The sequence below is a fragment of the Homo sapiens genome, chromosome X (assembly GCF_000001405.40).
Source record: "Homo sapiens chromosome X, GRCh38.p14 Primary Assembly".
In the NCBI taxonomy this organism is placed as follows: Eukaryota; Metazoa; Chordata; class Mammalia; order Primates; family Hominidae; genus Homo; species Homo sapiens.
Genome location: NC_000023.11, coordinates 59921600 through 59937477, shown reverse-complemented (window position 1 = coordinate 59937477; position 15878 = coordinate 59921600). Strand labels below are relative to the sequence as shown.

The window sequence follows — 15878 nt, the reverse complement described above, 5'->3', positions numbered from 1 at the left end:
GGCCTGAAAGCGCTCCAAATGTCCACTTGCAGATTCTGCCAAAAGAATATTTCAAAACTGCTCTATGAAAAGCAATGTTAAACTCTGTGGCTCGAACACAAACATCACAAAGCGGTCTCTGAGAATGCTTCAGTTTAGTTTTTCTGTGGAAATATTCCCGTTTCCAAAGAAATCTTCAAAGAGGTCCACGTATCCACTTACAGATTCTACAAAAAGACAGTTTCAAAACTGCTCCATCAAAAGGAGGGTTCAACTGTGTGACTTGAATGCAATCATCACTCAGAAGTTTCTGAGAATGCTTCTCTTTAGTTTTTACGTGAACATATACCCGTTTCGAACGAAGGGCCACCCAGTGGTCCAAATATCCACTTGCAGATTATACAGAAAGAGTGTTTCGAACCTGAACTCTCAAAGGCAGGTTCATCTCTGCGAGTTAAATGCATTCATCATGAAGAACTTTCTCAGAGTGTTTGTGTTTAGTTATGGGAAATTATTCCCGTTTCCAACGAAATCCTCAGAGAGCTCCAAATATCCACCTGCAGATTCTACCAAAAGTGTATTTGGAAACTGCTCCATCAAAAGGCATGTTCAGCTCTGTGAGTGAAACTCCATCATCACAAAGAATATTCTGAGAATGCTTCCGTTTGCCTTTTATATGAAGTTCCTTCCTGTACTACCGTAGGCCTCAAAGCAGTCCAAATCTCCATTTGCAGATTCTATAAAAAGAGTGATTCCAATCTGCTCTATCAATAGGATTGTTCAACTCCATGAGTTGAATGCCATCCTCACAAAGTAGTTTCTGAGAATGCTTCTATCTGGTTTTTGTGTGAAGATATTTCCTTTTCCACCACAGGCCTCAAAGCCCTCCAAACGTCCACTTGCAGATTCTCGAAAAAGAGTGTTTCATAGCTGCTCTTTCAAAAGGAAAGTTCAACTCTGGGAGTTGAATACAAACATCACAAAGTAGTTTCCGAGAATGCTTCTGTTTAGTTTTTATGTGAAGATGATCCCGTTTCCAGTGAAATCTTCAAAGAGGTCCACATATCCCCTTGCAGATTCCAAAGAAAGAGGGTTTCAAAACTGCTCCATCAGAAGGATTGTTCAACTCTGTGAGTTGAATGCAGTCATCGCAGAAAACTTTCTGAGAATGCTTCTGTCTAGGTTTGATGTGAAGATATAGACGTTTCAAACGAAGGCTACAAAGTGGTCAAAATATACACTTGCAGATTCTACTACAAGGGTGTTGCAAACCTGAACTATCAAAGGAAGGTTCAACTCTGTGAGTTGAATACAAACATCACAAAGAATGTTCTGAGTTTGCTTCCGTTCAGTTATGGGAAGTTGATCCCGTTTCCAACGAAATCCTCAGAGAGGTCCAAATATCCCCTCGCAGATTCTACAAAACGTGTGTTTGGAAACTGCTCCATCATAACGAATGTTCAGCTCCCTGAGTTAAACTCCATCGTCACAAAGAATTTTCTGAGAGTGCTACCGTCTGGTTTTTATATGAAGTTCTTTCCTTCACTACCACAGGCCTCAAAGCGGTCCAAATCTCCACTTGCAGATTCTACAAAAAGAGTGTTTGCAAACTGCTCTATCAAAAGGAATGTTCAACTCTGGGAGTTGAATGCAATCATCACAGAGCAGTTTCTGAGAATGCTTCTATGTCGTTTTTAGGAGAAGATATTTCCTTTTCCAACACAGTCCTCCAAGCCCGCTAAATAGCCACTTGCACATTGTAGAAAAAGTGTGTCAAAGCTGCGCTATCAAAGGGAAAGTTCAACTCTGTGAGGTGAATGCAAACATCCCAAAGAAGTTTCTGAGAATGCTTCCGTTTAGCTTTTAGGTGAAGATTATCCCGTTTCCAACGAAACCTTCAAAGAGGTCCAAATATCCCCTTGCGGATCCCACAGAAAGAGTGTTTCGAAACTGCTGTTTCAAAAGGAATCTTCAACTCTGTGAGTTGAATGCAATCATCACAAAGAAGTTTCTGACAATGCTTCTCTCTCGTCTTTCTGTGAAGATAAAGGAAAAGGCTTTCAGGCCTTTTCCACCACAGGCCTGAAAGCGCTCCAAATGTCCACTTGCAGATTCTGCCAAAAGAATATTTCAAAACTGCTCTATGAAAAGCAATGTTAAACTCTGCGGCTCGAACACAAACATCACAAAGCGGTTTCTGAGAATGCTTCAGTTTAGTTTTTCTGTGGAAATATTCCCGTTTCCAAAGAAATCTTCAAAGAGGTCCACGTATCCACTTACAGATTCTACAAAAAGACAGTTTCAAAACTGCTCCATCAAAAGGAGGGTTCAACTGTGTGACTTCAATGCAATCATCACTCAGAAGTTTCTGAGAATGCTTCTCTTTAGTTTTTACGTGAACATATACCCGTTTCGAACGAAGGCCACCCAGTGGTCCAAATATCCACTTGCAGATTCTACAGAAAGAGTGTTTCGAACCTGAACTCTCAAAGGCAGGTTCATCTCTGCGAGTTAAATGCATTCATCATGAAGAACTTTCTCAGCGTGTTTCCGTTTGCCTTTTATATGAAGTTCCTTCCTATACTACCGTAGGCCTCAAAGCAGTCCAAATCTCCATTTGCAGATTCTACAAAAAGAGTGATTCCAATCTGCTCTATCAATAGGACTGTTCAACTCCATGAGTTGAATGCCATCCTCACAAAGTCGTTTCTGAGAATGCTTCTATCTAGTTTTTATGTGAAGATATTTCCTTTTCCACCACAGGCCTCAAAGCCCTCCAAACGTCCACTTGCAGATTCTCGAAAAAGAGTGTTTCATACCTGCTCTTTCAAAAGGAAAGTTCAACTCTGGGAGTTGAATACAAACATCACAAAGTAGTTTCCGAGAATGCTTCTGTTTAGTTCTTATGTGAAGATGATCCCGTTTCCAGTGAAATCTTCAAAGAGGTCCACATATCCCCTTGCAGATTCCAAAGAAAGAGGGTTTCAAAACTGCTCCATCAAAAGGATTGTTCAACTCTGTGAGTTGAATGCAGTCATCGCAGAAAACTTTCTGAGAATGCTTCTGTCTAGGTTTGATGTGAAGATATAGACGTTTCAAACGAAGGCTACAAAGTGGTCAAAATATACACTTGCAGATTCTACTACAAGGGTGATGCAAACCTCAACTATCAAAGGAAGGTTCAACTCTGTGAGATGAATGCAACCATCACAAAAAATGTTCTGAGTTTGCTTCCGTTTAGTTATGGGAAATTGATACCGTTTCCAACGAAATCCTCAGAGAGGTCCAAATATCCCCTTGCAGATTCTACAAAACGTGTGTTTGGAAACTGCTCCATCATAACGAATGTTCAGCTCTCTGAGTTAAACTCCATCGTCACAAAGAATTTTCTGAGAGTGCTACCGTCTGGTTTTTATATGAAGTTCTTTCCTTTACTACCGCAGGCCTCAAAGCGGTCCAAATCTCCACTTGCAGATTCTACAAAAAGAGTGTTTGCAAACTGCTCTATCAAAAGGAATGTTCAACTCTGGGAGTTGAATGCAATCATCACAGCGCAGTTTCTGAGAATGCTTCTCTCTCGTCTTTCTGTGAAGATAAAGGAAAAGGCTTTCAGGCCTTTTCCACCACAGGCCTGAAAGCGCTCCAAATGTCCACTTGCAGATTCTGCCAAAAGAATATTTCAAAACTGCTCTATGAAAAGCAGTGTTAAACTCTGTGGCTCGAACACAAACATCACAAAGCAGTTTCTGAGAATGCTTCAGTTTAGTTTTTCTGTGGAAATATTCCCGTTTCCAAAGAAATCTTCAAAGAGGTCCACGTATCCACTTACAGATTCTACAAAAAGACAGTTTCAAAACTGCTCCATCAAAAGGAGGGTTCAACTGTGTGACTTGAATGTAATCATCACTCAGAAGTTTCTGAGAATGCTTCTCTTTAGTTTTTACGTGAACATATACGCGTTTCGAACGAAGGCCACCCAGTGGTCCAAATATCCACTTGCAGATTCTACAGAAAGAGTGTTTCGAACCTGAACTCTCAAAGGCAGGTTCATCTCTGCGAGTTAAATGCATTCATCATGAAGAACTTTCTCAGAGTGTTTGTGTTTAGTTATGGGAAATTATTCCCGTTTCCAACGAAATCCTCAGAGAGCTCCAAATATCCACCTGCAGATTCTACCAAAAGTGTATTTGGAAACTGCTCCATCAAAAGGCATGTTCAGCTCTGTGAGTGAAACTCCATCATCACAAAGAATATTCTGAGAATGCTTCCGTTTGCCTTTTATATGAAGTTCCTTCCTGTACTACCGTAGGCCTCAAAGCAGTCCAAATCTCCATTTGCAGATTCTATAAAAAGAGTGATTCCAATCTGCTCTATCAATAGGATTGTTCAACTCCATGAGTTGAATGCCATCCTCACAAAGTAGTTTACTGAGAATGCTTCTATCTGGTTTTTGTGTGAAGATATTTCCTTTTCCACCACAGGCCTCAAAGCCCTCCAAACGTCCACTTGCAGATTCTAGAAAAAGAGTGTTTCATAGCTGCTCTTTCAAAAGGAAATTTCAACTCTGGGAGTTGAATACAAACATCACAAAATAGTTTCCGAGAATGCTTCTGTTTAGTTTTTATGTGAAGATGATCCCGTTTCCAGTGAAATCTTCAAAGAGGTCCACATATCCTCTTGCAGATTCCAAAGAAAGAGGGTTTCAAAACTGCTCCATCAAAAGGATTGTTCAACTCTGTGAGTTGAATGCAGTCATCGCAGAAAACTTTCTGAGAATGCTTCTGTCTAGGTTTGATGTGAAGATATAGATGTTTCAAACGAAGGCTACAAAGTGGTCAAAATATACACTTGCAGATTCTACTACAAGGGTGTTGCAAACCTGAACTATCAAAGGAAGGTTCAACTCTGTGAGTTGAATACAAACATCACAAAGAATGTTCTGAGTTTGCTTCCGTTCAGTTATGGGAAGTTGATCCCGTTTCCAACGAAATCCTCAGAGAGGTCCAAATATCCCCTTGCAGATTCTACAAAACGTGTGTTTGGAAACTGCTCCATCATAACGAATGTTCAGCTCCCTGAGTTAAACTCCATCGTCACAAAGAATTTTCTGAGAGTGCTACCGTCTGGTTTTTATATGAAGTTCTTTCCTTCACTACCACAGGCCTCAAAGCGGTCCAAATCTCCACTTGCAGATTCTACAAAAAGAGTGTTTGCAAACTGCTCTATCAAAAGGAATGTTCAACTCTGGGAGTTGAATGCAATCATCACAGAGCAGTTTCTGAGAATGCTTCTATGTCGTTTTTAGGAGAAGATATTTCCTTTTCCAACACAGTCCTCCAAGCCCGCTAAATAGCCACTTGCACATTGTAGAAAAAGTGTGTCAAAGCTGCGCTATCAAAGGGAAAGTTCAACTCTGTGAGGTGAATGCAAACATCCCAAAGAAGTTTCTGAGAATGCTTCCGTTTAGCTTTTAGGTGAAGATTATCCCGTTTCCAACGAAACCTTCAAAGAGGTCCAAATATCCCCTTGCGGATCCCACAGAAAGAGTGTTTCGAAACTGCTGTTTCAAAAGGAATCTTCAACTCTGTGAGTTGAATGCAATCATCACAAAGAAGTTTCTGACAATGCTTCTCTCTCGTCTTTCTGTGAAGATAAAGGAAAAGGCTTTCAGGCCTTTTCCACCACAGGCCTGAAAGCGCTCCAAATGTCCACTTGCAGATTCTGCGAAAAGAATATTTCAAAACTGCTCTATGAAAAGCAATGGTAAACTCTGTGGCTCGAACACAAACATCACAAAGCGGTTTCTGAGAATGCTTCAGTTTAGTTTTTCTGTGGAAATATTCCCGTTTCCAAAGAAATCTTCAAAGAGGTCCACGTATCCACTTACAGATTCTACAAAAAGACAGTTTCAAAACTGCTCCATCAAAAGGAGGGTTCAACTGTGTGACTTGAATGCAATCATCACTCAGAAGTTTCTGAGAATGCTTCTCTTTAGTTTTTACGTGAACATATACCCGTTTCGAACGAAGGCCACCCAGTGGTCCAAATATCCACTTGCAGATTATACAGAAAGAGTGTTTCGAACCTGAACTCTCAAAGGCAGGTTCATCTCTGCGAGTTAAATGCATTCATCATGAAGAACTTTCTCAGAGTGTTTGTGTTTAGTTATGGGAAATTATTCCCGTTTCCAACGAAATCCTCAGAGTGGTCCAAATATCCACCTGCAGATTCTACCAAAAGTGTATTTGGAAACTGCTCCATCAAAAGGCATGTTCAGCTCTGTGAGTGAAATTCCATCATCACAAAGAATATTCTGAGAATGCTTCCGTTTGCCTTTTATCTGAAGTTCCTTCCTATACGACCGTAGGCCTCAAAGCAGTCCAAATCTCCATTTGCAGATTCTACAAAAAGAGTGATTCCAATCTGCTCTATCAATAGGATTGTTCAACTCCATGAGTTGAATGCCATCCTCACAAAGTAGTTTCTGAGAATGCTTCTATCTAGTTTTTATGTGAAGGTATTTCCTTTTCCACCACAGGCCTCCAAGCCCTCCAAACGTCCACTTGCAGATTCTCGAAAAAGAGTGTTTCATAGCTGCTCTTTCAAAAGGAAAGTTCAACTCTGGGAGTTGAATACAAACATCACAAAGTAGTTTCCGAGAATGCTTCTGTTTAGTTTTTATGTGAAGATGATCCCGTTTCCAGTGAAATCTTCAAAGAGGTCCACATATCCCCTTGCAGATTCCAAAGAAAGAGGGTTTCAAAACTGCTCCATCAGAAGGATTGTTCAACTCTGTGAGTTGAATGCAGTCATCGCAGAAAACTTTCTGAGAATGCTTCTGTCTAGGTTTGATGTGAAGATATAGACGTTTCAAACGAAGGCTACAAAGTGGTCAAAATATACACTTGCAGAATGTACTACAAGGGTGTTGCAAACCTGAACTATCAAAGGAAGGTTCAACTCTGTGGGTTGAATACAAACATCGCAGAGAATGTTCTGAGTTTGCTTCCGTTCAGTTATGGGAAGTTGATCCCGTTTCCAACGAAATCCTCAGAGAGGACCAAATATCCCCTTGCAGATTCTACAAAACGTGTGTTTGGAAACTGCTCCATCATAACGAATGTTCAGCTCCCTGAGTTAAACTCCATCGTCACAAAGTGTTTTCTGAGAGTGCTACCGTCCAGTTTTTATATGAAGTTCTTTCCTTTACTACCAGAAGCCTCAAAGCGGTCCAAATCTCCACTTGCAGATTCTACAAAAAGAGTGTTTGCAAACCGCTCTATCAAAAGGAATGTTCAACTCTGGGAGTTGAATGCAATCATCACAGAGCAGTTTCTGAGAATGCTTCTATGTCGTTTTTAGGAGAAGATATTTCCTTTTCCAACACAGTCCTCCAAACCCGCTAAATATCCACTTGCACATTGTAGAGAAATGTGTCGAAGCTGCGCTATCAAAGGGAAAGTTCAACTCTGTGAGGTGAATGCAAACATCCCAAAGAAATTTCTGAGAATGCTTCCGTTCAGCTTTTAGGTGAAGATTATCCCGTTTCCAACGAAATCTTCAAAGAGGTCCAAATATCCCCTTGCAGATCCCACAGAAAGAGTGTTTCGAAACTGCTGTTTCAAAAGGAATCTTCAACTCTGTGAGTTGAATGCAATCATCACAAAGAAGTTTCTGACAATGCTTCTCCCTCGTCTTTCTGTGAAGATAAAGGAAAAGGCTTTCAGGCCTTTTCCACCACAGGCCTGAAAGTGCTCCAAATGTCCACTTGCAGATTCTGCCAAAAGAATATTTCAAAACTGCTCTATGAAAAGCAATGTTAAACTCTGCGGCTCGAACACAAACATCACAAAGCAGTTTCTGAGAATGCTTCAGTTTAGTTTTTCTGTGGAAATATTCCCGTTTCCAAAGAAATCTTCAAAGAGGTCCACGTATCCACTTACAGATTCTACAAAAAGACAGTTTCAAAACTGCTCAATCAAAAGGAGGGTTCAACTGTGTGACTTGAATGCAATCATCACTCAGAAGTTTCTGAGAATGCTTCTCTTTAGTTTTTACGTGAACATATACCCGTTTCGAACGAAGGCCACCCAGTGGTCCAAATATCCACTTGCAGATTCTACAGAAAGAGTGTTTCGAACCTGAACTCTCAAAGGCAGGTTCATCTCTGCGAGTTAAATGCATTCATCATGAAGAACTTTCTCAGAGTGTTTGTGTTTAGTTATGGGAAATTATTCCCGTTTCCAACGAAATCCTCAGAGAGCTCCAAATATCCACCTGCAGATTCTACCAAAAGTGTATTTGGAAACTGCTCCATCAAAAGGCATGTTCAGCTCTGTGAGTGAAACTCCATCATCACAAAGAATATTCTGAGAATGCTTCCGTTTGCCTTTTATATGAAGTTCCTTCCTGTACTACCGTAGGCCTCAAAGCAGTCCAAATCTCCATTTGCAGATTCTATAAAAAGAGTGATTCCAATCTGCTCTATCAATAGGATTGTTCAACTCCATGAGTTGAATGCCATCCTCACAAAGTAGTTTCTGAGAATGCTTCTATCTGGTTTTTGTGTGAAGATATTTCCTTTTCCACCACAGGCCTCAAAGCCCTCCAAACGTCCACTTGCAGATTCTCGAAAAAGAGTGTTTCATAGCTGCTCTTTCAAAAGGAAAGTTCAACTCTGGGAGTTGAATACAAACATCACAAAGTAGTTTCCGAGAATGCTTCTGTTTAGTTTTTATGTGAAGATGATCCCGTTTCCAGTGAAATCTTCAAAGAGGTCCACATATCCCCTTGCAGATTCCAAAGAAAGAGGGTTTCAAAACTGCTCCATCAGAAGGATTGTTCAACTCTGTGAGTTGAATGCAGTCATCGCAGAAAACTTTCTGAGAAAGCTTCTGTCTAGGTTTGATGTGAAGATATAGACGTTTCAAACGAAGGCTACAAAGTGGTCAAAATATACACTTGCAGATTCTACTACAAGGGTGTTGCAAACCTGAACTATCAAAGGAAGGTTCAACTCTGTGAGTTGAATACAAACATCACAAAGAATGTTCTGAGTTTGCTTCCGTTCAGTTATGGGAAGTTGATCCCGTTTCCAAAGAAATCCTCAGAGAGGTCCAAATATCCCCTCGCAGATTCTACAAAACGTGTGTTTGGAAACTGCTCCATCATAACGAATGTTCAGCTCCCTGAGTTAAACTCCATCGTCACAAAGAATTTTCTGAGAGTGCTACCGTCTGGTTTTTATATGAAGTTCTTTCCTTCACTACCACAGGCCTCAAAGCGGTCCAAATCTCCACTTGCAGATTCTACAAAAAGAGTGTTTGCAAACTGCTCTATCAAAAGGAATGTTCAACTCTGGGAGTTGAATGCAATCATCACAGAGCAGTTTCTGAGAATGCTTCTATGTCGTTTTTAGGAGAAGATATTTCCTTTTCCAACACAGTCCTCCAAGCCCGCTAAATAGCCACTTGCACATTGTAGAAAAAGTGTGTCAAAGCTGCGCTATCAAAGGGAAAGTTCAACTCTGTGAGGTGAATGCAAACATCCCAAAGAAGTTTCTGAGAATGCTTCCGTTTAGCTTTTAGGTGAAGATTATCCCGTTTCCAACGAAACCTTCAAAGAGGTCCAAATATCCCCTTGCGGATCCCACAGAAAGAGTGTTTCGAAACTGCTGTTTCAAAAGGAATCTTCAACTCTGTGAGTTGAATGCAATCATCACAAAGAAGTTTCTGACAATGCTTCTCTCTCGTCTTTCTGTGAAGATAAAGGAAAAGGCTTTCAGGCCTTTTCCACCACAGGCCTGAAAGCGCTCCAAATGTCCACTTGCAGATTCTGCCAAAAGAATATTTCAAAACTGCTCTATGAAAAGCAATGTTAAACTCTGTGGCTGGAACACAAACATCACAAAGTGGTTTCTGAGAATGTTTCAGTTTAGTTTTTCTGTGGAAATATTCCCGTTTCCAAAGAAATCTTCAAAGAGGTCCACGTATCCACTTACAGATTCTACAAAAAGACAGTTTCAAAACTGCTCCATCAAAAGGAGGGTTCAACTGTGTGACTTGAATGCAATCATCACTCAGAAGTTTCTGAGAATGCTTCTCTTTAGTTTTTACGTGAACATATACCCGTTTCGAACGAAGGCCACCCAGTGGTCCAAATATCCACTTGCAGATTCTACAGAAAGAGTGTTTCGAACCTGAACTCTCAAAGGCAGGTTCATCTCTGCGAGTTAAATGCATTCATCATGAAGAACTTTCTCAGAGTGTTTGTGTTTAGTTATGGGAAATTATTCCCGTTTCCAACGAAATCCTCAGAGAGCTCCAAATATCCACCTGCAGATTCTACCAAAAGTGTATTTGGAAACTGCTCCATCAAAAGGCATGTTCAGCTCTGTGAGTGAAACTCCATCATCACAAAGAATATTCTGAGAATGCTTCCGTTTGCCTTTTATATGAAGTTCCTTCCTATACTACCGTAGGCCTCAAAGCAGTCCAAATCTCCATTTGCAGATTCTACAAAAAGAGTGATTCCAATCTGCTCTATCAATAGGATTGTTCAACTCCATGAGTTGAATGCCATCCTCACAATGTCGTTTCTGAGAATGCTTCTATCTAGTTTTTATGTGAAGATATTTCCTTTTCCACCACAGGCCTCAAAGCCCTCCAAACGTCCACTTGCAGATTCTCGAAAAAGAGTGTTTCATAGCTGCTCTTTCAAAAGGAAAGTTCAACTCTGGGAGTTGAATACAAACATCACAAAGTAGTTTCCGAGAATGCTTCTGTTTAGTTTTTATGTGAAGATGATCCCGTTTCCAGTGAAATCTTCAAAGAGGTCCACATATTCCCTTGCAGATTCCAAAGAAAGAGGGTTTCAAAACTGCTCCATCAGAAGGATTGTTCAACTCTGTGAGTTGAATGCAGTCATCGCAGAAAACTTTCTGAGAATGCTTCTGTCTAGGTTTGATGTGAAGATATAGACGTTTCAAACGAAGGCTACAAAGTGGTCAAAATATACACTTGCAGATTCTACTACAAGGGTGTTGCAAACCTGAACTATCAAAGGAAGGTTCAACTCTGTGAGTTGAATTCAAACATCACAAAGAATGTTCTGAGTTTGCTTCCGTTCAGTTATGGGAAGTTGATCCCGTTTCCAACGAAATCCTCAGAGAGGTCCAAATATCCCCTCGCAGATTCTACAAAACGTGTGTTTGGAAACTGCTCCATCATAACGAATGTTCAGCTCCCTGAGTTAAACTACATCGTCACAAAGAATTTTCTGAGAGTGCTACCGTCTGGTTTTTATATGAAGTTCTTTCCTTCACTACCACAGGCCTCAAAGCGGTCTAAATCTCCACTTGCAGATTCTACAAAAAGAGTGTTTGCAAACTGCTCTATCAAAAGGAATGTTCAACTCTGGGAGTTGAATGCAATCATCACAGAGCAGTTTCTGAGAATGCTTCTATGTCGTTTTTAGGAGAAGATATTTCCTTTTCCAACACAGTCCTCCAAGCCCGCTAAATAGCCACTTGCACATTGTAGAAAAAGTGTGTCAAAGCTGCGCTATCAAAGGGAAAGTTCAACTCTGTGAGGTGAATGCAAACATCCCAAAGAAGTTTCTGAGAATGCTTCCGTTTAGCTTTTAGGTGAAGATTATCCCGTTTCCAACGAAACCTTCAAAGAGGTCCAAATATCCCCTTGCGGATCCCACAGAAAGAGTGTTTCGAAACTGCTGTTTCAAAAGGAATCTTCAACTCTGTGAGTTGAATGCAATCATCAAAAAGAAGTTTCTGACAATGCTTCTCTCTCGTCTTTCTGTGAAGATAAAGGAAAAGGCTTTCAGGCCTTTTCCACCACAGGCCTGAAAGCGCTCCAAATGTCCACTTGCAGATTCTGCGAAAAGAATATTTCAAAACTGCTCTATGAAAAGCAATGTTAAACTCTGTGGCTCGAACACAAACATCACAAAGCAGTTTCTGAGAATGATTCAGTTTAGTTTTTCTGTGGAAATATTCCCGTTTCCAAAGAAATCTTCAAAGAGGTCCACGTATCCACTTACAGATTCTACAAAAAGACAGTTTCAAAACTGCTCCATCAAAAGGAGGGTTCAACTGTGTGACTTGAATGCAATCATCACTCAGAAGTTTCTGAGAATGCTTCTCTTTAGTTTTTACGTGAACATATACCCGTTTCGAACGAAGGCCACCCAGTGGTCCAAATATCCACTTGCAGATTCTACAGAAAGAGTGTTTCGAACATGAACTCTCAAAGGCAGGTTCATCTCTGCGAGTTAAATGCATTCATCATGAAGAACTTTCTCAGAGTGTTTGTGTTTAGTTATGGGAAATTATTCCCGTTTCCAACGAAATCCTCAGAGAGCTCCAAATATCCACCTGCAGATTCTACCAAAAGTGTATTTGGAAACTGCTCCATCAAAAGGCATGTTCCGCTCTGTGAGTGAAACTCCATCATCACAAAGAATATTCTGAGAATGCTTCCGTTTGCCTTTTATATGAAGTTCCTTCCTATACGACCGTAGGCCTCAAAGCAGTCCAAATCTCCATTTGCAGATTCTACAAAAAGAGTGATTCCAATCTGCTCTATCAATAGGATTGTTCAACTCCATGAGTTGAATGCCATCCTCACAAAGTCGTTTCTGAGAATGCTTCTATCTAGTTTTTATGTGAAGATATTTCCTTTTCCACCACAGGCCTCAAAGCCTTCCAAACGTCCACTTGCAGATTCTCGAAAAAGAGTGTTTCATAGCTGCTCTTTCAAAAGGAAAGTTCAACTCTGGGAGTTGAATACAAACATCACAAAGTAGTTTCCGAGAATGCTTCTGTTTAGTTTTTATGTGAAGATGATCCCGTTTCCAGTGAAATCTTCAAAGAGGTCCACATATCCCCTTGCAGATTCCAAAGAAAGAGGGTTTCAAAACTGCTCCATCAGAAGGATTGTTCAACTCTGTGAGTTGAATGCAGTCATCGCAGAAAACTTTCTGAGAATGCTTCTGTCTAGGTTTGATGTGAAGATATAGACGTTTCAAACGAAGGCTACAAAGTGGTCAAAATATACACTTGCAGATTCTACTACAAGGGTGTTGCAAACCTGAACTATCAAAGGAAGGTTCAACTCTGTGAGTTGAATACAAACATCACAAAGAATGTTCTGAGTTTGCTTCCGTTCAGTTATGGGAAGTTGATCCCGTTTCCAACGAAATCCTCAGAGAGGTCCAAATATCCCCTTGCAGATTCTACAAAACGTGTGTTTGGAAACTGCTCCATCATAACGAATGTTCAGCTCCCTGAGTTAAACTCCATCGTCACAAAGAATTTTCTGAGAGTGCTACCGTCTGGTTTTTATATGAAGTTCTTTCCTTCACTACCACAGGCCTCAAAGCGGTCCAAATCTCCACTTGCAGATTCTACAAAAAGAGTGTTTGCAAACTGCTCTATCAAAAGGAATGTTCAACTCTGGGAGTTGAATGCAATCATCACAGAGCAGTTTCTGAGAATGCTTCTATGTCGTTTTTAGGAGAAGATATTTCCTTTTCCAACACAGTCCTCCTAGCCCGCTAAATATCCACTTGCACATTGTAGAAAAAGTGTGTCAAAGCTGCGCTATCAAAGGGAAAGTTCAACTCTGTGAGGTGAATGCAAACATCCCAAAGAAGTTTCTGAGAATGCTTCCGTTTAGCTTTTAGGTGAAGATTATCCCGTTTCCAACGAAACCTTCAAAGAGGTCCAAATATCCCCTTGCGGATCCCACAGAAAGAGTGTTTCGAAACTGCTGTTTCAAAAGGAATCTTCAACTCTGTGAGTTGAATGCAATCATCACAAAGAAGTTTCTGACAATGCTTCTCTCTCGTCTTTCTGTGAAGATAAAGGAAAAGGCTTTCAGGCCTTTTCCACCACAGGCCTGAAAGCGCTCCAAATGTCCACTTGCAGATTCTGCGAAAAGAATATTTCAAAACTGCTCTATGAAACGCAATGTTAAACTCTGTGGCTCGAACACAAACATCACAAAGCAGTTTCTGAGAATGATTCAGTTTAGTTTTTCTGTGGAAATATTCCCGTTTCCAAAGAAATCTTCAAAGAGGTCCACGTATCCACTTACAGATTCTACAAAAAGACAGTTTCAAAACTGCTCCATCAAAAGGAGGGTTCAACTGTGTGACTTGAATGCAATCATCACTCAGAAGTTTCTGAGAATGCTTCTCTTTAGTTTTTACGTGAACATATACCCGTTTCGATCGAAGGCCACCCAGTGGTCCAAATATCCACTTGCAGATTATACAGAAAGAGTGTTTCGAACCTGAACTCTCAAAGGCAGGTTCATCTCTGCGAGTTAAATGCATTCATCATGAAGAACTTTCTCAGAGTGTTTGTGTTTAGTTATGGGAAATTATTCCCGTTTCCAACGAAATCCTCAGAGAGCTCCAAATATCCACCTGCAGATTCTACCAAAAGTGTATTTGGAAACTGCTCCATCAAAAGGCATGTTCAGCTCTGTGAGTGAAACTCCATCATCACAAAGAATATTCTGAGAATGCTTCCGTTTGCCTTTTATATGAAGTTCCTTCCTATACGACCGTAGGCCTCAAAGCAGTCCAAATCTCCATTTGCAGATTCTACAAAAAGAGTGATTCCAATCTGCTCTATCAATAGGATTGTTCAACTCCATGAGTTGAATGCCATCCTCACAAAGTAGTTTCTGAGAATGCTTCTATCTGGTTTTTGTGTGAAGATATTTCCTTTTCCACCACAGGCCTCAAAGCCCTCCAAACGTCCACTTGCAGATTCTCGAAAAAGAGTGTTTCATAGCTGCTCTTTCAAAAGGAAAGTTCAACTCTGGGAGTTGAATACAAACATAACAAAGTAGTTTCCGAGAATGCTTCTGTTTAGTTTTTATGTGAAGATGATCCCGTTTCCAGTGAAATCTTCAAAGAGGTCCACATATCCCCTTGCAGATTCCAAAGAAAGAGGGTTTCAAAACTGCTCCATCAGAAGGATTGTTCAACTCTGTGAGTTGAATGCAGTCATCGCAGAAAACTTTCTGAGAATGCTTCTGTCTAGGTTTGATGTGAAGATATAGACGTTTCAAACGAAGGCTACAAAGTGGTCAAAATATACACTTGCAGATTCTACTACAAGGGTGTTGCAAACCTGAACTATCAAAGGATGGTTCAACTCTGTGAGTTGAATACAAACATCACAAAGAATGTTCTGAGTTTGCTTCCGTTCAGTTATGGGAAGTTGATCCAGTTTCCAACGAAATCCTCAGAGAGGTCCAAATATCCCCTCGCAGATTCTACAAAACGTGTGTTTGGAAACTGCTCCATCATAACGAATGTTCAGCTCCCTGAGTTAAACTCCATCGTCACAAAGAATTTTCTGAGAGTGCTACCGTCTGGTTTTTATATGAAGTTCTTTCCTTCACTACCACAGGCCTCAAAGCGGTCCAAATCTCCACTTGCAGATTCTACAAAAAGAGTGTTTGCAAACTGCTCTATCAAAAGGAATGTTCAACTCTGGGAGTTGAATGCAATCATCACAGAGCAGTTTCTGAGAATGCTTCTATGTCGTTTTTAGGAGAAGATATTTCCTTTTCCAACACAGTCCTCCAAGCCCGCTAAATAGCCACTTGCACATTGTAGAAAAAGTGTGTCAAAGCTGCGCTATCAAAGGGAAAGTTCAACTCTGTGAGGTGAATGCAAACATCCCAAAGAAGTTTCTGAGAATGCTTCCGTTTAGCTTTTAGGTGAAGATTATCCCGTTTCCAACGAAACCTTCAAAGAGGTCCAAATATCCCCTTGGGGATCCCACAGAAAGAGTGTTTCGAAACAGCTGTTTCAAAAGGAATCTTCAACTCTGTGAGTTGAATGCAATCATCACAAAGAAG

At 40.6% G+C, this 15878-nt stretch overlaps 1 annotated feature.

Moving 5' to 3' along the window:
- Positions 1–15878: part of a centromere (Linear centromere model derived predominantly from reads generated in PMID: 17803354. This region does not represent an actual centromere sequence, as long-range ordering of repeats and unmapped WGS contigs is not provided by the model. For details of model production, see http://arxiv.org/abs/1307.0035.) that runs on past both edges of the window.